This window comes from Homo sapiens, chromosome 12 (genome assembly GCF_000001405.40).
Source record: "Homo sapiens chromosome 12, GRCh38.p14 Primary Assembly".
Lineage (NCBI taxonomy): Eukaryota > Metazoa > Chordata > Mammalia > Primates > Hominidae > Homo > Homo sapiens.
This window is the reverse complement of record NC_000012.12, coordinates 126,917,783-126,941,161: the sequence shown is the minus strand read 5'-3', so window position 1 is coordinate 126,941,161 and position 23,379 is coordinate 126,917,783. Positions and strand designations below refer to the sequence as shown.

At 38.5% G+C, this 23,379-nt stretch overlaps 1 long non-coding RNA gene across 1 annotated transcript in view; it reads left to right on the top strand.

Moving 5' to 3' along the window:
* Nucleotides 1–23,379, top strand: part of LINC02405 (long intergenic non-protein coding RNA 2405) — a 145,171-nt gene that overhangs the window by 119,236 nt on the left and 2,556 nt on the right. Inside the window, exons 5-6 of the long non-coding RNA NR_104646.1 lie at nucleotides 17,957–18,132; nucleotides 18,203–18,455. This is a non-coding gene — a long non-coding RNA (long intergenic non-protein coding RNA 2405). The remainder of the gene's footprint in view (nucleotides 1–17,956; nucleotides 18,133–18,202; nucleotides 18,456–23,379) is intronic.

The window sequence follows — 23,379 nt, the reverse complement described above, 5'->3', positions numbered from 1 at the left end:
ATTTATATGAGTTACATTGTGACCTCATTTTTGTAATTTACACTTTTTCTTCCTTAATGATAGCTTTTTTTTTTAAAACAGAACTGCTGATGGGTACTTATGTGGCATGATGGGTATTTATATGGCACGATTTTTCTGTGTCCATCTTCTTTTTTGCACTACTTTGAAAAGTTTTAATAAGAAATGTAAGCACTATCTACTGGAACCATAATGAACAAAGAACTAATGCACTTATTTTTGCTTAAAAAATGTAAATCCAAGTAGAGCACTTGTGGAAATCATGAACAAGAACCTTGTGACTCTACATGTTGGTTTTTTACAATTTTTGTCTGTCGAGTCCTGAGTTCTCATTACAGTATAAGATTCTTTTGCCCTATCAAAGGACATAAAATTCAGAAACTCTAAATAAAATAAAGACAAGTTAAGTGGTTCCTACTGGAGGCAGTTAATGCAAAATTAGATGAGTCGATAAAACTGAGTAATTATGATGAGAGTTGGTTTGTTTAATTTACTTTATTTTTTTGAGTAGTTTTAGGTTCATAGAAAAATTGAGAGGAAGATGGATGCTTTTTTGTATGTCCCCTACCCCCAACACATGCACAGATTACCCCATTTCTAACATCCCTCACCAGAGTGGTTCGTTTGTTAGAGTTGACAAACCTACATTGACACATCATTATCACCCAGCGTGCACAGTTGATGTTAGAGTTCACTCTTGGTGTTGCACATTTTATGGGTTTGGACAAATTTAAAATGACACGCCTTCATAGAGTGTCATGCACAATAGTTTTACTGCCCTAAAATTATCTATATTCTGCTTATTCACCCCTCTCACCCCCAATTCCTGGAAACCACTGAAGTTTTTACTGTCTTCACAGTTTTACCTTCTCCAGAACGTCGTATAATTGAAGTCACACAGTATGTAGCCACCTTTTCAGACTGGCTTCCTTAACTTAATAGTATGTTTCTAAGGCTCTTCCACATATTTTCATGGTTTAATAGTTCATTTCTTTTCAGCACTGATTAATATTGCCTGGTCAGGCTATACCACAGTTTATTTATCCATTCACTCACTAAATGGCATCTTGATTGATTCTAAATATTGACAATTATGAATAAAGCTGCTATAAACATCCATGTGCAGGTTTTTATGTGGAAATAAGTTTCCAGCTTTTTTGGGTAAATACCAAGGAGCATGATTGCTGGATTGTATAGTAAGAGTATGCTTAGTTTTCTAAGAGGCCCCAAACTCTCTTCCAAATAGAGTGTACCATTTGGCATTACCATGAATAACAAGAGGATTTGTTGCTTTACCTTCTCACTAGCATTTGGTTTTATCAGTGTTCTGGATATTGACAGTTCTAATAGCTGTGTAATAGATCTCTTTGTTGTTTTAATTTGCATTTCCCTGATGACATATGATGTAAAGGATCTTTTCTTATGCTCATTCCCCATCCATGTATTTTCTTTGGTGAGGTGTCTGTTATAGTCTTTGTCCCATTATTGTTGGAGAAAATTGCTTTTTTTGGTAACTTAATTTTCCATTATTATATTTTATCATACTTTTTCTTCTCTAGTTTTATTGATGTGCCTAAGTATCCTTGGCAACAAGTGTTCTGTAAAGGTCATAAGGACAAGATAAGGGTAAAATGAGAGCTTTATTAGCAGTTTTGTACTCATCAGTGGCTCATGCCTCCCTTCTCAGCATGTAACTCTTCATTTTGCACTGAGCAGTTTTGCACAGTTGTCAGTTTTAAGGTAGTTACATGAGCCAACACAGACATAACCAGCTTCACCACCATTATCACTGGAAGCAATTCTTTATTTTTATTTTTCCAACATTTATTTTAAGTTCAGGGGTACATGTGCAGGATGTGCAGGTTTGTTACATGGAGGTGTGCCATGGTGGTTTACTGCAGAGATCATTGCATCACCTAGGTATTAAGCCCAGCACCCATTCCTTCCTTATGAACTCTTTTTCTTCTGAGTTCTAACAGCCATCCTGGCTAAGACATCATAAAACATCAGACAAAGGAGACGCCGACTCCAGCAATAAAACACTTCCTGACAGTATTGAACACATTAATACACACCCAAACACACACACACACAAACACATACACATAGACACACACAAATACACATACATATATACATACACACAAATATATGTATATGCATCTACACACACGTACTTATATAAACACAGAGATATATACACATGCATGCACATATACATGTGTGCATTCACACACGTGCATTCACATGCATATATACACACATGCATACATATATACACATAATTATATATGTGCATACATATATACACATAAATAAATATACACATGCATACATACACACATACACAAGTGCACATACATATACATGTACACATATACACACAGATATACACACAGATATACACAATACACATACCTATATACACACAGTGCACATACCTATAGACAGACACATATGTGTACAAATGTTTACACACATACATGTATATACACATACCCATGCATATATATAAACACACATGTATACATACATATATACGCACTATATATAAATATAAACATACATACAAAATGTATACATACAAGTGTATATACACATACATATAGGCATATACATTTATGTAAGCATACAATACATACATACATATGTTATTTCTATACACATGCTATATGTACTCAATTATATAAGTACACATGTATGTATTTTCTCTACTTCCTTTGGATATTCTAAGAACAATATTGATCCACTCATCCATCACATATTTCCTGGGGGCTATCTATAAGCTGGCCATTTTGACAGATTGCATGATATGTTAGAAAAAAGGCAAAAACCTGCTCCTTCTGCCCCTTATATTCACTAGTGATTTAGTGCCACTGAACCTGAATGGACACGAGAGGAGCACGAAGCAGATGATGAGGGCTGTGAGATGGAAAGGAGAGATGCTCTTACTAACGATTGTGATTAATAATTGTTGACAGATAATGACAGTACTCATGATGATAATGATTGTTATTATCACCTGGAAGATTATTCAGCAAATAGTCCTTCTCCTCTCTGCTATTACAGGGGACAAAAGTGCTTTCTTTCCTAGTGATGTTGGGCATGGCCATAGACTGACTTTCGGCAGTGGGATGTGGGCAGAGGCAGCAGAGTGCCTCGTAAAAAAATATGTGACACGTCTGCCAGCCTCTTATGCTCCAGTGCTCCAGAAGGGATCTGAATGCAGGCTGTCATGGGCACCATCTTAGTATGTTTATTAAGCCCTTCCATGTGGGTCAGGAGGCTTAATAAACATACTAAGATGGTTATTTTGTAGGTTCTTGTGGTGAGAGAGCAACATTTCGTAAGGCCTCTTATTCTTCCAACCTGCCCTTCTCCATCTGCATGGAGACTGGGGAGAAGAATCCAGGAAATTTCCTTTTCTGACATCCCTGCAGCTCAGCAAGGCCCCTTGATGATGTGGCATTTGCTTATGATCTTGGGGGAAAGTCCATTTATCAGAGGTTATTAACCAGGAGTGCACTTTAATCAATCACAAATATTTATCTGCCACACACAGAGGACAGAGTAGCTAACTGACAGAAGAGTGTCTTGTCTCTATGGCACTTTTAATCTATAGGAGAGCATTTTCAAAACCCAAATGCCTGACTGTAGACTTTCTGTTTTGGTGGGTATGAATTTGACACTGTGCTTTTAAAAAATGACAACTGCCACAAAGCTTCTCATCACATTTTGATGGGCAGAAAACTGCTGAGCCCAAGTTATAAGTAACAGGTTTGCTTATTGGTAATAATAAAAATTATACATATTAAAAAATGTTGTCCCGCATATAATTCCTTCTTTTCAAATTATTCATAGAGGCAGGAGGCAGAGAAATTCTAGGCAGACGGGGGTGGATCCCCAGTGAAACCACGCCTTCAAGCCAAAAATACAAATAAAAAATCAGCCTGGAACCGCTGGCCCAACGTGAGATCTTCTATTCTTGTTTGCCCGCTCTCTCCCGATTGGTTCTTTCTGAATCACACCTTTTTACCAATCAAATGTAGCCTTTTCCAAAATTACCTACAGCCTGCCCCAATCCCATCCTGTGCCTAGGAAGACCCCAGACTCAGTCAGTAGTGGGAGAGATGGCTGGACCTGGAGAGAGATGGCCGGACCTTGAAGGAGATGGCGGGACTTCGGGGAAGATAACCTGCCCTTCCCATCCTCTCTCCAGCTCTCCTCTCTGCTGAGAGCAGTTTTCATTGCTCAGTTAAATTCTCCACTTTCACTATCCTTCAGTTGTCTGTGTGACCTCATTCTTCTTGAATGCAAGACAAGAGTTTGGGACTCACCAAGTGTGGGTACCCAAAAAGGCTGTCACACTGGCTCATTGCCCTCCCCGGCAGAGGACAGCTGACTCATGCAATGAGGCAAGGAGCCAACTGAGCTGCCAACACGCTGCCATCCAGAAACGGCAGAACTAAAAGAGCACCGTAACACCTCCTCTTGGGCTTCAGGGCCACAGGCATCCCCACCTAGGTGCCACCACAGGCCCTGCAGGACCAGCCAGCTGGACCCTGCACTTGCTCGCTCACGTGCTGCCTCCTGCAAGGGGGTGAGTGTGGCAGGCCAGCTAAACCACACATCCCTGTCACGGGTCCAGCAAAAAGGCCGAAGATATTTTTGTATTATTATGACCACCTGCTAAAACTGAAAGTTGCAGAATTCACTATGAAATGGTGAGTGATAAAGTTCTCATTTACGTGGATATGTTTTTTTGTTTCGTTTTTAATGAGACAGTCTCACTCTACCACCAAGGCTGCAGGGCAGTGGCACCACCATAGCTCACTATAGCTTTGACCTCCCTGGGCTCAGGTGATCCTCCTGGCTCAGCCTCCTTAGTGACCAGGACCACAGGTGTGCATCACCTCACCCACCTAATTTTTGCGTTTTTCATAAAGACAGGAGTCTCTCTATGTTGTCCAGGCTAGTCTCGAACTCCTGGGCTCAAGTGATCCATCCACCTTGGCCTCCCAGAGTGCTGACATTATAGGCATGAGCCACTACATCCAGCCTAGGTGGAATCATAATAATAGTTTTCTCCTACTAGGACATTTGATTATTTTCTTTAATATTCATTACCTAATGCCTACTAGACTTTCTGGTACAGAGAAAATAGTTAATATATATTTTTAAATAATTAAATTCGAAGTTAGCACCTACTCTAATTATTAGGATGGTGCAAAAGTAATTGTGGTTTTTGCAGTAATCTATAATTCGTTCATTCAGCAAGTATTTGTTGAGCACCGAAGCCCACTTAATACTGTGCACAAATACACTGTTCCCATCTTCTTGTGAGAACAGGAGATTGTCTGATTGGACTCCTTAGGTGCAAGCGTGTGGATGTTTGAGGTGGTAAAACTGGAAGCATTCTGTGCTTGCACTTGGCTTTTTACCTTTCTTCTTCTCTGCACTGTGGATCTGACAGCTTGTCTTAAGATTCACTCTTTATCATCCTGATTCCCTGAGTATCTCCGGGAACAGAGTCTCCTAACCCCATTAGTTCATGTTCGTCATTGAACATGATTGAAAATACTCTCTTGTTATTACAAGCCGCTGGTAATTTGATTTTGTTTAGCATAACCTGATCCACCCTGACTGACACAAGCCCCACTCTCTGTTAAATACTGTATTAGATGCACTAAACACACAAAGAACAAAACAGTCTCTACACTCAACGTACAGAAAAACCTAGTAAGTTGGCAGATGGATGGAGTGGCTACCCTCTTGCAAATATGAAATATGCAACACAGTATTGTTACCTGTAGTCACATCGTTTTACATTAGATGTCCAGAACCTATTCATCTTTCCGCAGTGAAACTTTGTACCCCCTGACTGAACCCTTACTGTCCCCTTCTCCCCACATCCTGGCAACCATCATTCTACTCTTTGCTTTTATGGGCTGGACTATTTAAATTCCACAGAGGAGTGAGTTCATGCACTATTTGTCTTTCTGTGTCTGGTTAATTTCACTCAGCATACGTCCTCCTGGTTCATCTATGTTGTTACAAGTGGCAGAATTTCCTTCTTTTTACAGGTTAATAGTATTCCCCTGTGTGGACACACCCACACAGACACACACACACACACACACACACACACAATGTTTTATTCATTCATCCATTGACAGAAATTTATAGTGTTTCTATTATAAAGATAATTATATTTCTATATGTTTATATTACCTATATTATATTGTTTATATATCTTGGCTATTTGTAAACAATGCACAAGTGACAGTGGGAGTGCAGCTGCGTCTTCAACATACTCATTTCATCCCTTTGGATACATACTTAGAGGTGGGATTGCTGGATCATAATGTGGTTTTTATACAGTGGATACCACCAGATGCTTGAGCTAACTCTTTTGAGTGCATGTTTTTGGTTTTTTGTTTGTTGTTTGTTTTTGTTTTTGTTTTTGTTTTGAGCAGGAGTCTTGCTCTGTCGCCCGGCCTGGAGTGCAGTGGCACGATCTCGGCTCACTGCAAGCTCTGCCCCCCTGGTTCACGCCATTCTCCTGCCTCAGCCTCCTGAGTAACTGGGACTGCAGGCGCCCGCCACCACGCCCAGCTAATTTTTTGTATTCTTTTTTTTTTCAGTAGAGACGGTGTTTCACCGTGTTAACCAGGATGGTCTCAATCTCCTGACCTCCTGATCTGCCCACCTCGGCCTCCCAAAATGCTGGGTTTACAGGCGTGAGCCACCGCGCCCGGCCGAGTGCATGTTTTTTTAAACAGGGTCTTTCTTTGTCACCCAGGCTGTAGTGCAGTGGTACACTCATAGCCTCAATCTCCCAGGCTCAAGCAGTTCTCCCACGTTAGCCTCTCAAGTAACCGGAACTAAAGGTATAGGCCATCATGCCTGGCTAATTTTTGTATTTTTTGTAGAGGCAGGATCCCCCTATGTTGCCCAGGCTGGTCTTGAACTCCTGGCCTCAAGAGATTCTCCTTCCTCAACTTCCTAAACTGCTGGGATTACAGACATGAGTCTCCTCGCCTGGCCTTTGAATGCATTTTTAAGGAGTGAATAATACAATTGTTATTTAATATCAACTTGTAATCTAAAGACAGTTTTGTAAGTGTAACAGATTATTGATTTGTATTTGCAAATTTTGTTTTTGGGTAAGAAATTGGGATATTAAACTTGACGACTTGACTCTAATGTAGATATTACACAAATACTTCTGACTTTGTTTTTCCTTTAAGGAATATAGAGCTTAAGTAAAATACTTATCTGAAAGTTATCACGTGGTTTTAGTTAAGCAAATAACTGTTTTTGTTCTTATTTTTAACAAAATAATCACATGTGGTAGCAGACAGGCTATTCCATTTCCTTGTTACACATTCTTTTATAAAGAGGGATTTCCAGCATTTAAAAGATGCTATATTGTCTTCAAAATAGCCTCTGAATTCCAATAACATTTTCCTGAATTTAGAGAAACAACCATTATTAATTTAGAAAACAAATTAAATTTTGCATTAACAATCACAATTTTTAAAAAAGCTATGGAGTATATAAGAGTGTGTGTATAGATGTAGAATGCAGATTTTATTCATGAAATAGCTTCTTTGCGTCTTTTAAAATAGAACATTTGACATGCGTGTCTGACTTTTGGGAATAAACTCAGAAAACACATCAGCTGCTCTTCTGCTCATGCAGTTTAATGTGTACATTTCAAAAGCATTGCCAATTATGAGGTTGAGTTGTACTCAGCTGATTTCTTAGGTTCCATAATTTTAAAATCATAGAATAAAGCATAGCGGTACCTATGTTGATAGTATGTGAAAAGGACACGTGATGAAAATAATTATTATATGATTATAATATGTTAATTCATTTCTAAAGGTTCTGAGTTTTGTGAACCATAGTTTGGAATAATATTTATTAGTTCTACCATTACCCTATAGCAGCTCCTAATGGGACACCCCAGAAATTGCAGCGGCACCATTTGAGATGATAGGTTTTCCATAATTATGAGATAAATCTTCTATGATTAAATTTAGTAAAATATGTTCATCCTAGGAAATTCCTGTTAGATGGTAATGCAGGTTTTTATTTGTTTAAGACAGAAAATACTATTTTAATATCAAATGTTAAACATAATTTTAGCAGTGGTCTAATAATTAATTCAGCATATATACATTAACCATGTACTTGACACTGGTGTACAATTGTAACAGAGATGAGATTTTCCCTTATAGCTATTCTTTTCTTCTCACTTGAATAGAATGTACAGTGCTTTGTCTGGCATCTCTCAAAAATAGATATTTCTGAGCCTCCATTGGAGCTCAGATCCAATGTGATCATTTGACTCAGTTGTGGCCAATGAGATGTGAATAAGAAATGATGTGTGTATCTCCTGGGACCTGGCCCTAAGAGGAAGGAGAAAGTCATCTTGATCCAGGTAGATAATGACAACAAACAAGTGATGGCTGAGTAACAAGTCACAAATAGCCTAGAACCCTGACAGTCACACAGAGGACAGTCTCCATACGTATTCAGATGGGTACTTGATAGAGAAATACATTATCTTTTATAAATAAATAAGACATTAAGTGTTCTCTTACTATACTCAAATCTACATGCAAACAGTGGGGAAAAAGTACAGTTTAATATTAATAGCAACAGCCTCTGTTAATTGAACAGTCTCATTCTCATTAGTGTATTTCACTCTCTTAACTACCTTATAAAGTAGTCGCTACTATCTTTCATCTATAGACAGTGTGAATGACATCACTAACAAATATATCCCAGGGTCAAGCCCAGGTTCATTTTCCTTTTCAGCTTTCTGTATTACAAAAGTGATTGTAAGTTTCATGTCAGAGGTCAGTTCTAACAGATTAATGGTAACTCCCCAAAGTCTTATGTTGAGAAGTCTTCTTTGGACACAAATGCTCTCAGGTTGGGAAGAAATTAATATGCTATGATTTATTGGGTGAGATTTCAATAGAATCTTGGCCCTCTTACAGCCATGTGCCATTTTTCGAAGAATACCTCTCTTTAAAAATAGAAAATCAGAAGACATTCCAGGGTGATAAGTTGAAACATGCATGTAGCAATTTTCTTTTCTTTTTTTAAATTTTTAATTTTTTTTTATTTTTGAGCCAGGGTCTAGCTCTGTCACCCAGGCTGGAATGCAGTGGCATGATCTCAGCTCACCGCAACCTCAGCCTTGTGGGTTCAAGACATTCTCCCGCCTCAGCTTCCTGAGTAGCTGGGACTACAGGCATGCACCGCCACACCCAGCTAATTTTTGTATTTTTAGTAGAGACTGGGTTTTGCCATATAGGCCAGGCTCGTCTGGAACTCTTGACCTCAAGTGATCTGCCTGCCTCTGCCTCCCAAAGTGTGGGATTACAGGTGTAAGCCATGGCACCCAGCCTGCAATTTTCATTTCTTAACGTGTCCTCACATACTCATGTCTTAATTAATGCCTAGTGCATCTGGACACTCCACAAAATATGACTTTCTTATTAACCTACAAAACAAGCAATACATATATTAATATCCCTACTTTAAAACTGTAGAGACTGAAAATTATAAAGGCTGAATTACCCAGTGAGTGGGCGGTAACATCTGAAATGGAACTCAGATTTTGCAACTAGGGTTCTAGACATGGCAGGGCCAAGGGAACACAGTAGAGCTTGAGGAACCAGATGGGTGGATGTTCCTATGAGATACAAGATAGCAGCTTTTCTCACTGCCAAGAGATTCAATGTAGAAAGAGATGAGGCAATTAGTGCTGAAGATGACCCTCAGCCTGGGAGCAGCAAAAAAGGAGTGCAGAGTCGAACAATAGTTCTGGCAGGAAAATGCCTTCTCTCTTCTCATTTATCCTCAAAAGGCCACCTGGGCAGACAGGTGGCATGATTGCTCTCCTTTTGCAAATGGGAAAAGTAAAGCAAATAAAGATGGAAGAATCTTCCTGAGTGCCTGCGTGATGAAGGTCAAAGGAGAAAGACGCTAGTGTCCTTGTTCGGCGTTTACCCCAGGAGCGCTGGATGACTTCTCTACACCACAAAGAATCAACTTTATTCACGAGTAGAGGCTATCCTTTAAACAAATATGTTTGGTTTCATTTCGATTTTGTGCATTCCCTGTACTTTATTTTCTCTGGATGAGAAGGAAACAGCTAAGCGTTTCTTTTCATCCACAAGAAAGCCGAGAACACCATCCTCTGCCACGTGATGTGCCATCCCCTCCATCATCTTGTCTATAGGGTTCTTGATTAGACATTCCATCTGCTGTGAGCTGAGCTAAATGAGTCAATAAATAGTGGCAAGAAAGATATTTTCAGAAAAATTAAGGCTGGTTGCTGCAAAATTCGTGGGTCCTGGTATGTAGTGCAGGCCGAACAGTGTAGAAAAGTCTACATTCTGGAAGCAGAACAAGTCCCTAAATCTGTCTGATAGTTGTTGATTCAGGCTAAGAGGGGCATTCTTGGAATTTACAAAAGATAATCATATATGTGGGATTTGGTTATGCATATCACAAACTCGACCCCTATAAACCCATAGTTTAGAAGATTTTTAGGAAAGGAGAGGAATGGAGGTAACACAGAAAGATACCCCTGGGATGTCTGAAGGTGATGTTACCGGATGATGTTACCGGATGGTGTTACCGGATGGTGTTACCGGATGGTGTTACCCGATGATGTTACCGGGTGGTGTTACCAGGTGATGTTACCGGATGGCTGCCTCAGCCGGCCCTTCACAGAACAAATTCTGCAGCCATTTCTAGCCCGGTCGTGAATATCTATCTACGGAAACAAGAAACATCTATAATAACTAATATAGAGTGAAACACAGAACGTTAATTATTCTTGAAAAAAAGCCCCCCTCCTCCTACCTTTGGACACCTCCCAGAAACAAGGTTCTTAAGACAAAAAAAGAGAGAGAAATGTTTTCATAAACTATTCTTTATCTAAAAGACAAAACTATATAACTTAAATAAGTTGAATCTGGGATTATTCATACATTATTTTCATAACCTTTTTGAATACAAAGTTTTAAAAACTATTTCTATTTCTTTGTGAGAAAATCTGTTTTAAATCAGTACATTGGTCAAAAATAATAATTAGGAAATTGTGATTCTTAAAAATTAACATTATCCAAAGAATAAATTACAGATTTTCTTCTAAGTATTTTGGGAATTAGAGGGGTAAGAAGTTGATCTCAAACATAGTTGAGAATATTTTCCTAAATGGCTTATAGCTATATTCATTTTTGTATAATGTGGGGCCATTTGGACCTATAGCTAATGATATTACTTCACTTTATTATTATCTCACATATATAACATATGTTATGCTTGACAATGCCAAGAGTCTGAACTCATGGACATTTAAAGACTCCTCAATATTCAAATTTGATGGTAAAAGATTTCTATTAAAATATTCCATAGAATTGAGTCTTTTAATGAATATTTTCTTACCCTCATGTTAATAAGCATTAAAGAAAAATAGGAAATTAGAATCCAGTATTTGGGATCTCACTGATTTCTCCATTTTCTATGACACTTGATGTTCTCCAAGCTGAATTGTCACTAAGAATTTGAACTGCAATTGTCAGCAAAGCAATGAGCAGTTTGTGAGTCTGTCCTCACCTGGGCTCTGTGGAGCTGAGAACCCAGCTTTGTTTGCAGTGATAGTTATGCTATTAATGTATTCTTAGAAAGAGGGGAAGATTGTTTATACTGAGGTTTTGACTATGTTTTTGGTTGTTGCTTTAATAAGGACATGTATTTTCCTTACAGAAATTGCTTCCAAGGTGTGGGCATCAGGAGGCTCAGGCAGTTTAAGGTGGTATTTTGTGCATAAAATTAGATTCATGTAACCTAGGTTTGTGTCTCAGCTCTGCTAATGGCTGGTTATGTGTCTTTGTGCAGCTAGCCTGTAGTTAGGAAGCCTCTGCTTCCTCATCTGTAAAATGGATATAATGATAAGTCAAACTCACACAAGTGTTTTGATGACATAATCAATGACAGCATTGAGAGAACAATACTTTAATCACTTCGCATCATGAACATTTTATTTTTAGATTCCAATTCCATGTCATTCTAATGTGGTTGTGAAATATGTGCTTTCATTCATTAATAACATTTTTCCTAGCACTGCCTATGTGCTCTATATTATTCTAAGTGCTTTTCAAATATTAACCCAAGTTATTCTCACGACAACCTTGTAAAGTAAGTCTCCCCGTTTTACCAACAGAGAAACCAAGGCACAGAGAGATTTGCTGGCTTGCCTCAGATTATACAGCTAGATCTGAGTCCCAAAAGGCCAGTTCTGGAATCTATGACCCCAACTCTGAGACTATCCTGCAGCTCCACACCTCGAATCCACACATCAACTCTGTGGAGCCATGAGACTGCTCCAGCTGCTGGGACCAGTGGCTCAACAGGATGGGCATGTTTATATTTATAACATATAAATACACAGACATATACATATATAACAAAATATATAAATAACAAAATATGTAAATAGATACATAACAAAATACATAAAGCATATATAAAAATACATATATATATAATATATTACATCATACCTTCAAATAACATCATTTCTTTCAACATCTTTTCATTATAACATCGGTAAAAAAAGATTGCTTGTGTTAGATGTAATTTCACTTAAAGTCACAGTTTCCAATAACCTATTGACAATGTCACGTGAAGGTTTACTGTATGTGAGAGAGAGAGCAAGAGAGAGAGAGAGAGACAGAGAAAGGACACTCCAATCCTGAGAGATGAAACTCTACTGATTTGAACAACAAAAAATGTCCGACCTAGATATGTTCCTATAATAAATTGTTAGTGAGGTAAACCTGGCCAAACCTCATGAGTATATATTGGCCAAACCTCATAAGTATATATCTTGATGATTTAATAATTAATATGCTCTGCCTAATATATGCCTTTATAATAGGTAATAATTTGTATTACAAAAGTGCAAACATGTTCAATTAAAACAGCATCTGTTATTTAATACACAAGGTCAATGCGATTTCTAGAATGTGAAGACCGTGGCTACCAAATGGCTAGCAGTCACCTGGCCACATTACGTAAGATGCATATGCACGCTACAATGTTCAATTCTGAGTTAACTGGTCTGAAAACTGATTCATGTATTAATTCCAGGCTACCTATGATAGTAAAACTATCAATACTAGGAGAGGCACTTGGTTCTGGTTTGAGATTGAATTTCCCCTAATTAATTACACTGTGGGTGCATTCTTTCAGTTCTATGATCTGTGTTTACAGGATTATACAAAGATAATACCATGTGATAGATGCAAGCTAATGCATGCACCCCTTTTATTATACATAGGGCTGCATATTCAATTTTTCTTTCTTTCTTTCTTTCTTTTTTTTTTTTTGAGACCGAGCCTCACTCTGTTTTCCAGGTTGGAGTGCAATGACACAATCTTGGCTCACTGCAATCCCATCTCCACCTCCCAGGTTAAAAAAATTCTTCTGCCTCAGCTTCCCAAGTAGCTGGGATTACAGGTGTACACCACCACACCCGGCTAATTTTTGTAATTTTAGTAGAGATGGGGTTTTGCCATGTTGGCCAGGCTAGTCTCAAACTCCTGGCCTCAAGTGATCTACCTGTCTTGGCCTCCCAAAGGGCTGGGATTATAGGCATGAGCCACTGTGCGTGGTCCACATATTCAGTTTTTACCTACTGTTTCTCTTTCTCACAAACTAAGCCAAACATTTGGTTCCAACTGATTTCTTCCTCTTCTTTCTGACATAGTCAATGAATTTCTAAAGTAAAAGAATGGAATTTCAGCTACAAAACAACATAAGAATGGTTTTCTTTAAAAAGTGCACCTATCACTGTTTTGGAATTTTTTCCCTAGTACTGCTTATTTATCTGGCCATCAGAAACAGTGGCAGATGCCTACATTTTGATAAAACATTTTAGAAAATATGCCAGAGACTGAGAGCAGGAGAAACTGCTGAAGGAGAACATAATGTTCATATTTATCTAAATGTGTTTATTTACATTAATGTTTTTATTGGTAGCAGAATATGGTGACATGCAGACTTTTTCTAAAATGTAATATGTAATGCTTCGTTCAGGGCGCAAAATTTTTCTTACAATTTCTACCTTATATATGATTGAGTGACACTTTGGAAAGATCACTGCTGTCCAAATGTTCTCTCTACATTTTAATCCAATACAAATATACTGTATTACTTTAAAACTTTTTTCCCCAAAATTGTATCCATTATGATCATGGGCAAGGATGATGTCTAGGATATGATTCTGAGATTGTATAAGTGATACGAGATCGAGGAAAACGTTGTTTAAAGAGAGGTAAATAAACTGAAAGCACAGGCATGTAAAAGGATTATTTGTGTGAAAACTGGAACCACAAAGAATGATGATAAAAGAGTGTTGAGGAGGGGGAGGGGGAGCCAAGAATTGAAAGCTTTATGACATGAGGAAGGAGGACATTTGTGTCATCTACCAATAAGTAGGACAAAGATAGACAGTAATGGTGAAATTTGAGTTTCAAAACACAGTGATTAGTAACATTGCAGAAGAAACAATGAAAAACAAGCAGGATGCCTACTTTATGCCTAGAGTCAAGAGTCACCACGAATTGGTGGATGAATACGTTAGTTTCATTTCTCTATTGTCAAGGGAAGATAACTCTCAGGTGTGTATTCTATGCTCCTTCCAAATGTTCCTCACTGAGTTTAAGCTCTGATTGCCCCACAGTGGTGACCAGCTTGATAGCACTCCTTTTAAAAGCTTCTTCCCTTTTCTTTCTCACTACTTCACATTCCTACAGTGTTTTCTGATAATACGGACCAAAGAAATTATTTGCACTTGAATTCTCATCTCAGTGTCATCCTCTAGCTGATGACATCATGAGAAAACTGCATCCTCCACTTTGCTGATTATGAGGAAAGAACCCACCAAGCTACCCCGAGGTAGGGTAACACTCGAACTGACGAACACACATGACTTTCTAAAGAAATGTGTAAACACTTGGACTCTTCTATCAACCTTTCTATGCTCTCATAATTTTCACTAACGATCTTTGCAAGTGGTTGCCTATCACCTCATTTTGGAAAATGGGTGTCCTTATTACCCGTGTTTGTCTAAGCCAGCAAGAGTCCTTTATACAATCCCTTTTGAGGAATGAGAATAAGTAGAAACACTGACAGGCCAAAATGATTTTAGTAATAGGGCAAGTAGAGTTCAAACCTATTGAGCTCTCTTCCCAAACTGTGCTATTTTGCTATGAGAGAATCCTTATTCTGAATTTGAGGTTTATTATTCTCAGAAGCTCTTTTCATTTTGTGCTTTGGGTGCTCCTGGTCATGAGAGCTTAAACCCCTATCAACCAACCACTTGAATTAAGAGTATCCACAAACAAAATTGCAAATACAGGCTTATGATTACCAGATTTCATGGATATTAATATTTCATAAGGAGACTTAAGCTATTTCATTGCGTTTTACATTAGTTGTTTTAATAAATCTTTTCCTACCAGCGGCACTGACAAATTTAATAGACTTTATAAATAATTGGTCAATACCGAATGTGTCATAAATTTACTCCATCTGTGGAAAGAGCCCCAGTTGCTACTTTTGTGTTATGTTCTTCCAAACAACCTGTAAGTCACAATTAATGCTGGTTAAAATTGTGACAGGTATTTGACTTTGTCAATGACAAGTTTTGTTTGAATGCCAAAGAAGTTTAATTCCCTATAATTACAGATTATGACACTGCAAATTTCCCTCAGCTCTAACCTAGTGCTATTGATAAGAACACTTTTAATGAAAGACACTCAATGGAGGAAGAAAATCCAAGTTTAGTGAAACAAGAGAAATGTAAATCAGAGTCACAGAAAGCTACAAAAAAAATCCTATTATTTAATTTGAAAATAAACACATCAATCTTTCAGTTTGATTGTTATGACTTTTTGTGGTATATGCTTTAAAATTATAGTGCTTTCATCAAAAGTTTAAAATTATATAATGTCTCCACGTACGTAAAGTAGAAACACTGGGGATTTGTTTTAATGCTTTGAGTTTCTGGGTGTAACTTTGGGGCAAATAGTTTGTATCGAGTTGTAGTCTTTTGCTTTTATCTCAATGATTATTCAAGCTATTTGCCAGGCAGACAGTAGCATTCAAGATGTTTTCAACTCTGAGAAAGGTTGCACATAACCTTCACTAGAGCAGACTGAACTTTCTTCTCTTTTTTTTTTTTTTTTTTCTGAGACGGAGTCTCGCTCCGTCGCCCAGGCTGGAGTGCAGTGGCGCGATCTCGGCTCACTGCAAGCTCCGCCTCCCGGGTTCACGCCCTTCTCCCGCCTCAGCCTCCCGAGTAGCTGGGACTACAGGCGCCCGCCACCACGCCCGGCTAATTTTTTGTATTTTTAGTAGGGACGGGGTTTCACCGTGTTAGCCAGGATGGTCTCGATCTCCTGACCTCGTGATCCGCCCGCCTCGGCGACCCAAAGTGCTGGGATTACAGGCGTGAGTCACCGCGCCCGGCCGAGAAGACTGAACTTTCTTAAAGGCATTTGAAGCCACACCCTAGTATCTACAAAAAAGAAATTAAACAAATAGCTGGGTATAGTGGTGTATATCTGCAGTCCTGGCTACTCAGGAGGTTGAGGTGGGAGGATCACTGGAGACTAGGAGTTCCAGGCTGCATCAAGTTATGATCGTGCCACTACACTGCATCCTGAGCAAGATTGAGGCCCTGAATTTTAAAATATAAATTAAAAGAGATATGAGGATATCATTAAAGTATTTGACCTTCTCATTAGTTTTAAAAAAACAACAACACACAAACACAAATTTAAGTCTCAGATAATGTAAACTATTTTTTTTTCCTTTGGGAAACATTAGATATAAAGTGAATATCTATCTTTGAAACACGGAATGCTGATTGTGAAAATGTGAAGTTTATGAAACACTAGGTTAGAGTTCAGGGAAATGAGCATTGTTATTTAGAAATTGAGAGCTACATGGTAATTGACAGCAAACGCTTTAATGTGCTGTTGAATCAAATAGCACTAAAATTTATAATAATTTTCATGAATAGAAGGTATTGTATATTCTGTTCAATGAATTATTTAGAGCCTAGAAATAATATCCTTTCTACAAACATAAAAGTAGTACCACCACTCAAGTCAATGTTTTAATGAGTTCTCTTTTAACCGGGCTAAATGCTTGCATTTGAAGGCTGCCCTGGTCAATATTTTACTTATTTTGGAAGAGCTGGCATTTCCTTTAGAGACACTGGCCTCTTTCTAATAAAAGTGGAGCACACAAGGTATATTGATATTTGAGTTATAGATATTATAATGTTCAATGAAATCACGGGGCAGGATTAGTCATCTCTGCCATTGGCTGAGGGTTATTGTGAGCTGTGCTTGTGGGCTGGTGTCTGGCAGATGTTTCTTGGGACCATAAACATCTTGGGGATGTAAACTTGGGGGCCATGAGGGCGCTCTAGCTGAGCCTGTACCTGTCCCACAGTGTGTGACATCCCCGTGCAATTCCACAGCGTGGAGAGTCCAGCCCTCAGCCACTCCGACGCCGGTTCACTGGAGAGTGTCCTGTGCTCTTGGCTCACCTGTGTGGACAGAGGTGTGTGCTGCTTTCCCACTCTCTGATGGGGACAAGTAGATTTTCCTGAGCTCAGCCTTGCCTCAGGATGGAAAGTGAACCTTTTTTTCAGGGGATGAGACCAACAAGGGCTCCAGGCTCAGTGAGTTCTCCTTGGTGTGTGTATTTGTGTATGACCATAACTATGGATCTTATTGGGATGAACAAGCACACTGTGTTTCCAGATTCACCCCACTCCACGGGGACTTTTACTTTAACTGACATCTGTCATAATTTACATTCACAGAACTGAGACTACCATACACCTAAGAAGTCAAAGTTGCTATTCAAGGGGAAGTGCAAACACAAGATGAGGGAAACTGATGTATTTAGTGTCTACATTTTACAAATGGATGCTTTTCATAATATGAAAATACTGCACCATAAGATTGCCAGTCACAACAGCACGGCTACAGTGAAAATGTGAGTTCACAACACAGTGCAGATCTTGCAGTTGGCTAATAGAACGTGAGTTTTAAAGCTGTTTAATAAGTGTCAGTCTTTTTTTTTTCCAGGATCCCAGTGGATTTGTTACGGTGAGAAAGCTTCACTTGGAGACAAAGCCAAAACCTTCCTCCCAGGCTCCCTTGGATGTAGGGGGAAGCAAACTGGCTGTCCAGGCCTCTGAGCCACATCTACACACCTCATGAGAGGGCCTGTGCAACATTGCCTTAGAGATGGAGAGCATTGCTTCAGAATCAGGGAAGCCTAAATTTCACCCCTGGGGCTGCCCCTTGTGATCTTGAGTAAGTTACATTCCACAAGTCTCCATTTCATTTTCTGTAATTTGGGATTAATTATAGAATCTATTTCCTAGGACAGTTGGGTGGATCAATTAGATAATATATGTAAAGTAGTTAGCACTAAGTTTTGGATTGAACGTAGATATTGTTCAATTAATGGTGACTACTTGGCCAGGTGCAGTGGCTCACACCTGTAATCCCAGCACTTCGGGAGGCCAAGGTGGGCCGATCACTTGAGGTCAGGAGTCTGAGACCAGCCTGGCAAATGTGGTGAAACTCCATCTCTACTAAAAATATAAAACTTAGCTGGGCGTGGTGGTGCATGCCTGTAATCCCAGCTACTCAGGAGGCTCTGAGGCAGGAGAATCGCTTGAACTCTGGAGGCGAAGGTTGCAGTGAGCCGAGATCACTCTACTGCACTCTAGCCTGGGTGACAAAGCAAGACTCCGTCTCAAAAAAAAAAAAAAGTGGTGACTACTGTTATTAGTAAAATAATATAAAATTATTCAAACAATACTGTTATTAATAATGATACTGTTATAATAATTACTATTATTATTAAAGGTTGGCTTTATTGCAGCAACCTTGCTGATTATCTCTGAATGAGAAAACTTTTTTAGAATCATTTAAAGGTGCTTAAAGGTGCTAGCACCTTACTCTTCCTGGATATAGATTTTAGTGCCAACTTGTAATATGGGCTTATAGAATTAAAAATAGCAGCTTATCATTCATATTATGCTTTAAAAGTATTTTAGATGAATCAGCATCATATTGTAATTATCTACTTAAAATACATCCAAACTTTTATACATATTATTACCCAACACTAAACTAAATGAGCAATTCGCATGATTGCAGAAGTGGAAAACAAACATTCTGATCAAAATCAGAACATAATGTTTGCATATATATATTTAGACAGCTTTATTGAAATATAATTAACATACTACACAATTCACAATTCAGTGTTTGTAAGTATATTCACAGACTCATGCAACCATCACCACAATCAATTTTAGAACATTTTTATTGCTCAGAAAAGAAATCATGTAACCATTATCAATCACTGCCCATTACTCCCTCCTCCCAGGCCCTGGCAACCACTAAGTTGCATTCTGCCTCTGGACTTACCCATTCTGGACTTTTCATATACATAGAATCATAGGCCAGGTGTGATGGCTCACGCATGTAATCCAAGTATTATGGGAGGCTGAGGCAGGAGGGTATCTTGAGCCCAGGAGCTTGAGACCATTCTGGGCAATATAGTAAGGCCATGTCTCTACCAAAAAAAATTAAAAAATTAGCCAGTTGTGATGGTGAACACCTGTAGTCCCAGCTACTCAGGAGGCAGAGGTGGGAGGATCACTTGAGCCCAGGAAGTGGAGGTTGTGGTGAGCCATGATCCTGCTGCTGCACTCCAGCCTGGTGGCAAAGCGAGAACTTGTCTCAAAAAAACAAAAAACAAAAAAAAAATGAAAAGAATAGTATAATGTGTAATGTGATAGAAGAATAATGGACCCCAGAGATGCCCACAGCTGAATCTCTGGAATTTGTAAATACATATTACTTTACATAGCAAGAAGGGATTTTGTAGCTGTGATTTAAGTATCTTGAGCTTGGGAGATGATCCTAGATCACCCAGGCACATCCTATGTAATCATAAGGGACCTTATAAAAGGGAGGCAAGAGGGTCAAAGTCAAAGAGGAAGAAGCTGGGATGAAGGAAGCAGGAATTAGAGCAATGTGACCACAAGCCTGGGATTGCCCACAGTCTCTGGAAACTGGGAGAGGCAAGACACAGAGTCTGCCTCGGGGTCCTTGAAAAATAACTGATCCTGACAGAATGTTTGATTTTAGCTCCTTAAAACTGAATTCTGAATTCTAGAAATGAAAGATAATAATTTTGTGTTGTTTAAACCATGACATTTGTGATAATATATTACAAAAGGAAACTGATACATGTGGTCATTAGACTGATTTCTTTTTTTCTTTTCTTTTTTTTTTTTTTTTTTTTTGAGATGGAGTCTCGCTCTGTTGCCCAAGCTGGAGTGCAATGGCGCAATCTCGGCTCACTGCAACCTCTGCCTCCTGGGTTCAAGCAATTCTCCTGCCTCAGCCTCCCAAGTAGCTGGGATTACAGGCATGTGCCACCATGCCCATCTAATTTTTTTTTGTATTTTTAGTAGAGACAGGATTTCACCATGTTAGCCAGGATGGTCTCGATCTCTTAACCTCATGATCCACCTGCCTTGGCCTCCCAAAGTGCTGGGATTACAGGTGTGAGCCAACACTGCACCCAGCCTCAACTGATTTCTTTCACTGAGTGTAATATTTCCAAAGTTCATTCACGTAGTATGTCCTTCATGAACTTCATTTCTTTTTCATGGCTTAGTAATATTCCATTCTATGGATGTACAACATTTGGCTTATCCATTCTTTAGTTGACAGACAGTTGGCTTGTTTCCACTTTTGACTATTCTGAATAATGCTTCCGTGAATATTCATAGACAAGTTTACATACGTTTTCACTTCTCTTGGGTATATAGCAAGAAATATTAGGTTAGTGCAAAAGTAATTGTGGCTTTTTACCATTATTTTTAGTAATGGTAAAATAATAATGGGTGTAAATCAGAGTCACAGAAAGCTACAAAAAAAAATCCTATTGCGTAATTTGAAGATAAACACACCAAGCTTTCATTTTGACTGAAAGATTTTACCATTGCTTTTAATGGTAAAAACTGCAATTCCTTTTGCACCAACCTAATACGATGGTATGTACATATAATTCTATTTTAACATTTGAGGAACTGACAAACTCTTCTCCACAGTTGCTAGGCCGGTATACAGTAAAACGAGCAAAATATAAGGTTCTAATTTCTAACATTCTCATTAACAAGTGTTATTTATTTGTTTATTCATTCATTTATTTATTTTTATAACTATCTTAGTAACTGTGAAGTGGTATCTCTTGTGGTTTTGACTTGGATTTCCCTAATGATTGATAATATTGAACTTCTTTTTATGTGCTTATTGGCCATTTGTATATTTTATTTGAATACATATTTATTCAAGTCATTGACACTTTTAATTGGGTAACTGATATTTTTAATTTTAATTTATAAGAGTTATTTCCATATTCTGGATAGTAGACCTTATCTGATATAAACCCTGCAAATATTCTGTAGCTTATCTTTTCACCTTTTTGATTTTTATTTTATTTTATTATTTATTTATTTATTTATTTGAGATGGAGTCTTGCTTTGTCGCCCTGGAGTGCAGTGGCATGATCTCGGCTCACTGCAGACTCCGCCTCCTGGGTTCACGCCATTCTCCTGCCTCAGCCTCCCGAGTAGCTGGAACCACAGGCGCCCGCCACCATGCCTGGCTAATTTTTTGTATTTTGTTTAGTACAGATGGTGTTTCACCGTGTTAGCCAGGATGGTCTCAATCTCCTGACCTCATGATCGCCTGCCTTGGCCTCCCAAAGTGCTGGGATTACAGGTTTGAGCCACCGCGCCTGGCCTGTTTTTATTTTTTGTTTTTTTTTTTTTTGATACAGAAAAGTTTTTTTGATTAAGTCCAATTTGTTTATTTATTGGTTTCTTATGTTTTCGGTGTCAAGTCTTAAAACCACTGCCTATTCTCAGATCATGAAGATTTAGTTATGCTTCCTTCCAAAACTTTCGTAGGTTTAGCTTTTACATATAAACATACAATTAACATATAATCCAGTAACTCTACTCCTAGTTGTATACCCAGAGGAATTGAAAACAAGTCCTTAAGTAGGTGCATGTGCTTTATACTTATAGCAGCAATAATAGAAAGAAACCTGAAAACAACCCAAATGTCCATCAGTGGATGAATGAATAAGCACATTGTGATATATCCATATATTGGAATATTACTGAGCCTTGAAAAGGAGTGAGATATTGTAATACATAACAACATGGGTAAACCTTGAAAAGATGATACTGAGTGGAGGAAGCCAGAAACAAATGGTAACATAATGTACAATTCTATTTATATCAAACATCCAGGTAGATAAATCCATAGAGGCAGAATGCAGATGGAGGTTTTTAAGAGTTGGAGCGTGGGAGGAATTGAAATAAATTACTTAATGGGTAAATGGTTTACTTTGGAATAACGAAACTGTTTTGGAACTAGATAGAAAGGGTAGTTTCACAATATTATGAATATATAAATGCCACTAAGTCTTTCACTTTAAAATGGTTAATCATACGATATATGAACTTCCGCTCAGAAATTACTATAAAGTTATATTTTGGGGTTTATTTTTCTTCTGATATTGCATAAGGACTATGACGTTTTGTCAGCCTGAATTTCTTGAAAGCTACGATAGATTTAATAGAAGATTGCACATATATTCAGCATCCTGGGGTCACCACCAACCATAGGAAAGCAATAACAAGTAAAATGTGGGCCTCTTTGATGAGAACTTCATGGTCCACAGAGGATACATGGGCATAAGGGGATGGAGGCAGAATGTTCTCAGTACCACGAGAAACACATGAGCACAGTGTTCCAAGGGTTTGAATGGAGACAGACACTGGTGTCCTGCAGGGAAGACTTCGGGAGGTGATGTTGGATAGGACCTTGGGGAAGTTAGAAAGCTTTACCAGCATGTGAGGGCTCATATGGAAGTTCCAGGTGTAGGGGACTTAGCAAAGACAAGGATGTAGGAAACACACGGCGTTGAGAAGAGCATGCAGCTTCTATTGACTGAAGGAAAGAGCACATGTTCAGCAGTGAGTCCCAAGTCTCAACACATGATGGACCATGTTCTCAAGCTTTTGCAAACCTGCATACAACTTGTTTATAAGGGAAGACCCTCCTATTCAGACTATACGCATGAATGTTAATTAAAGTGAGGACTCACAAAAAGTGATACATATTTATCTCAGGCATT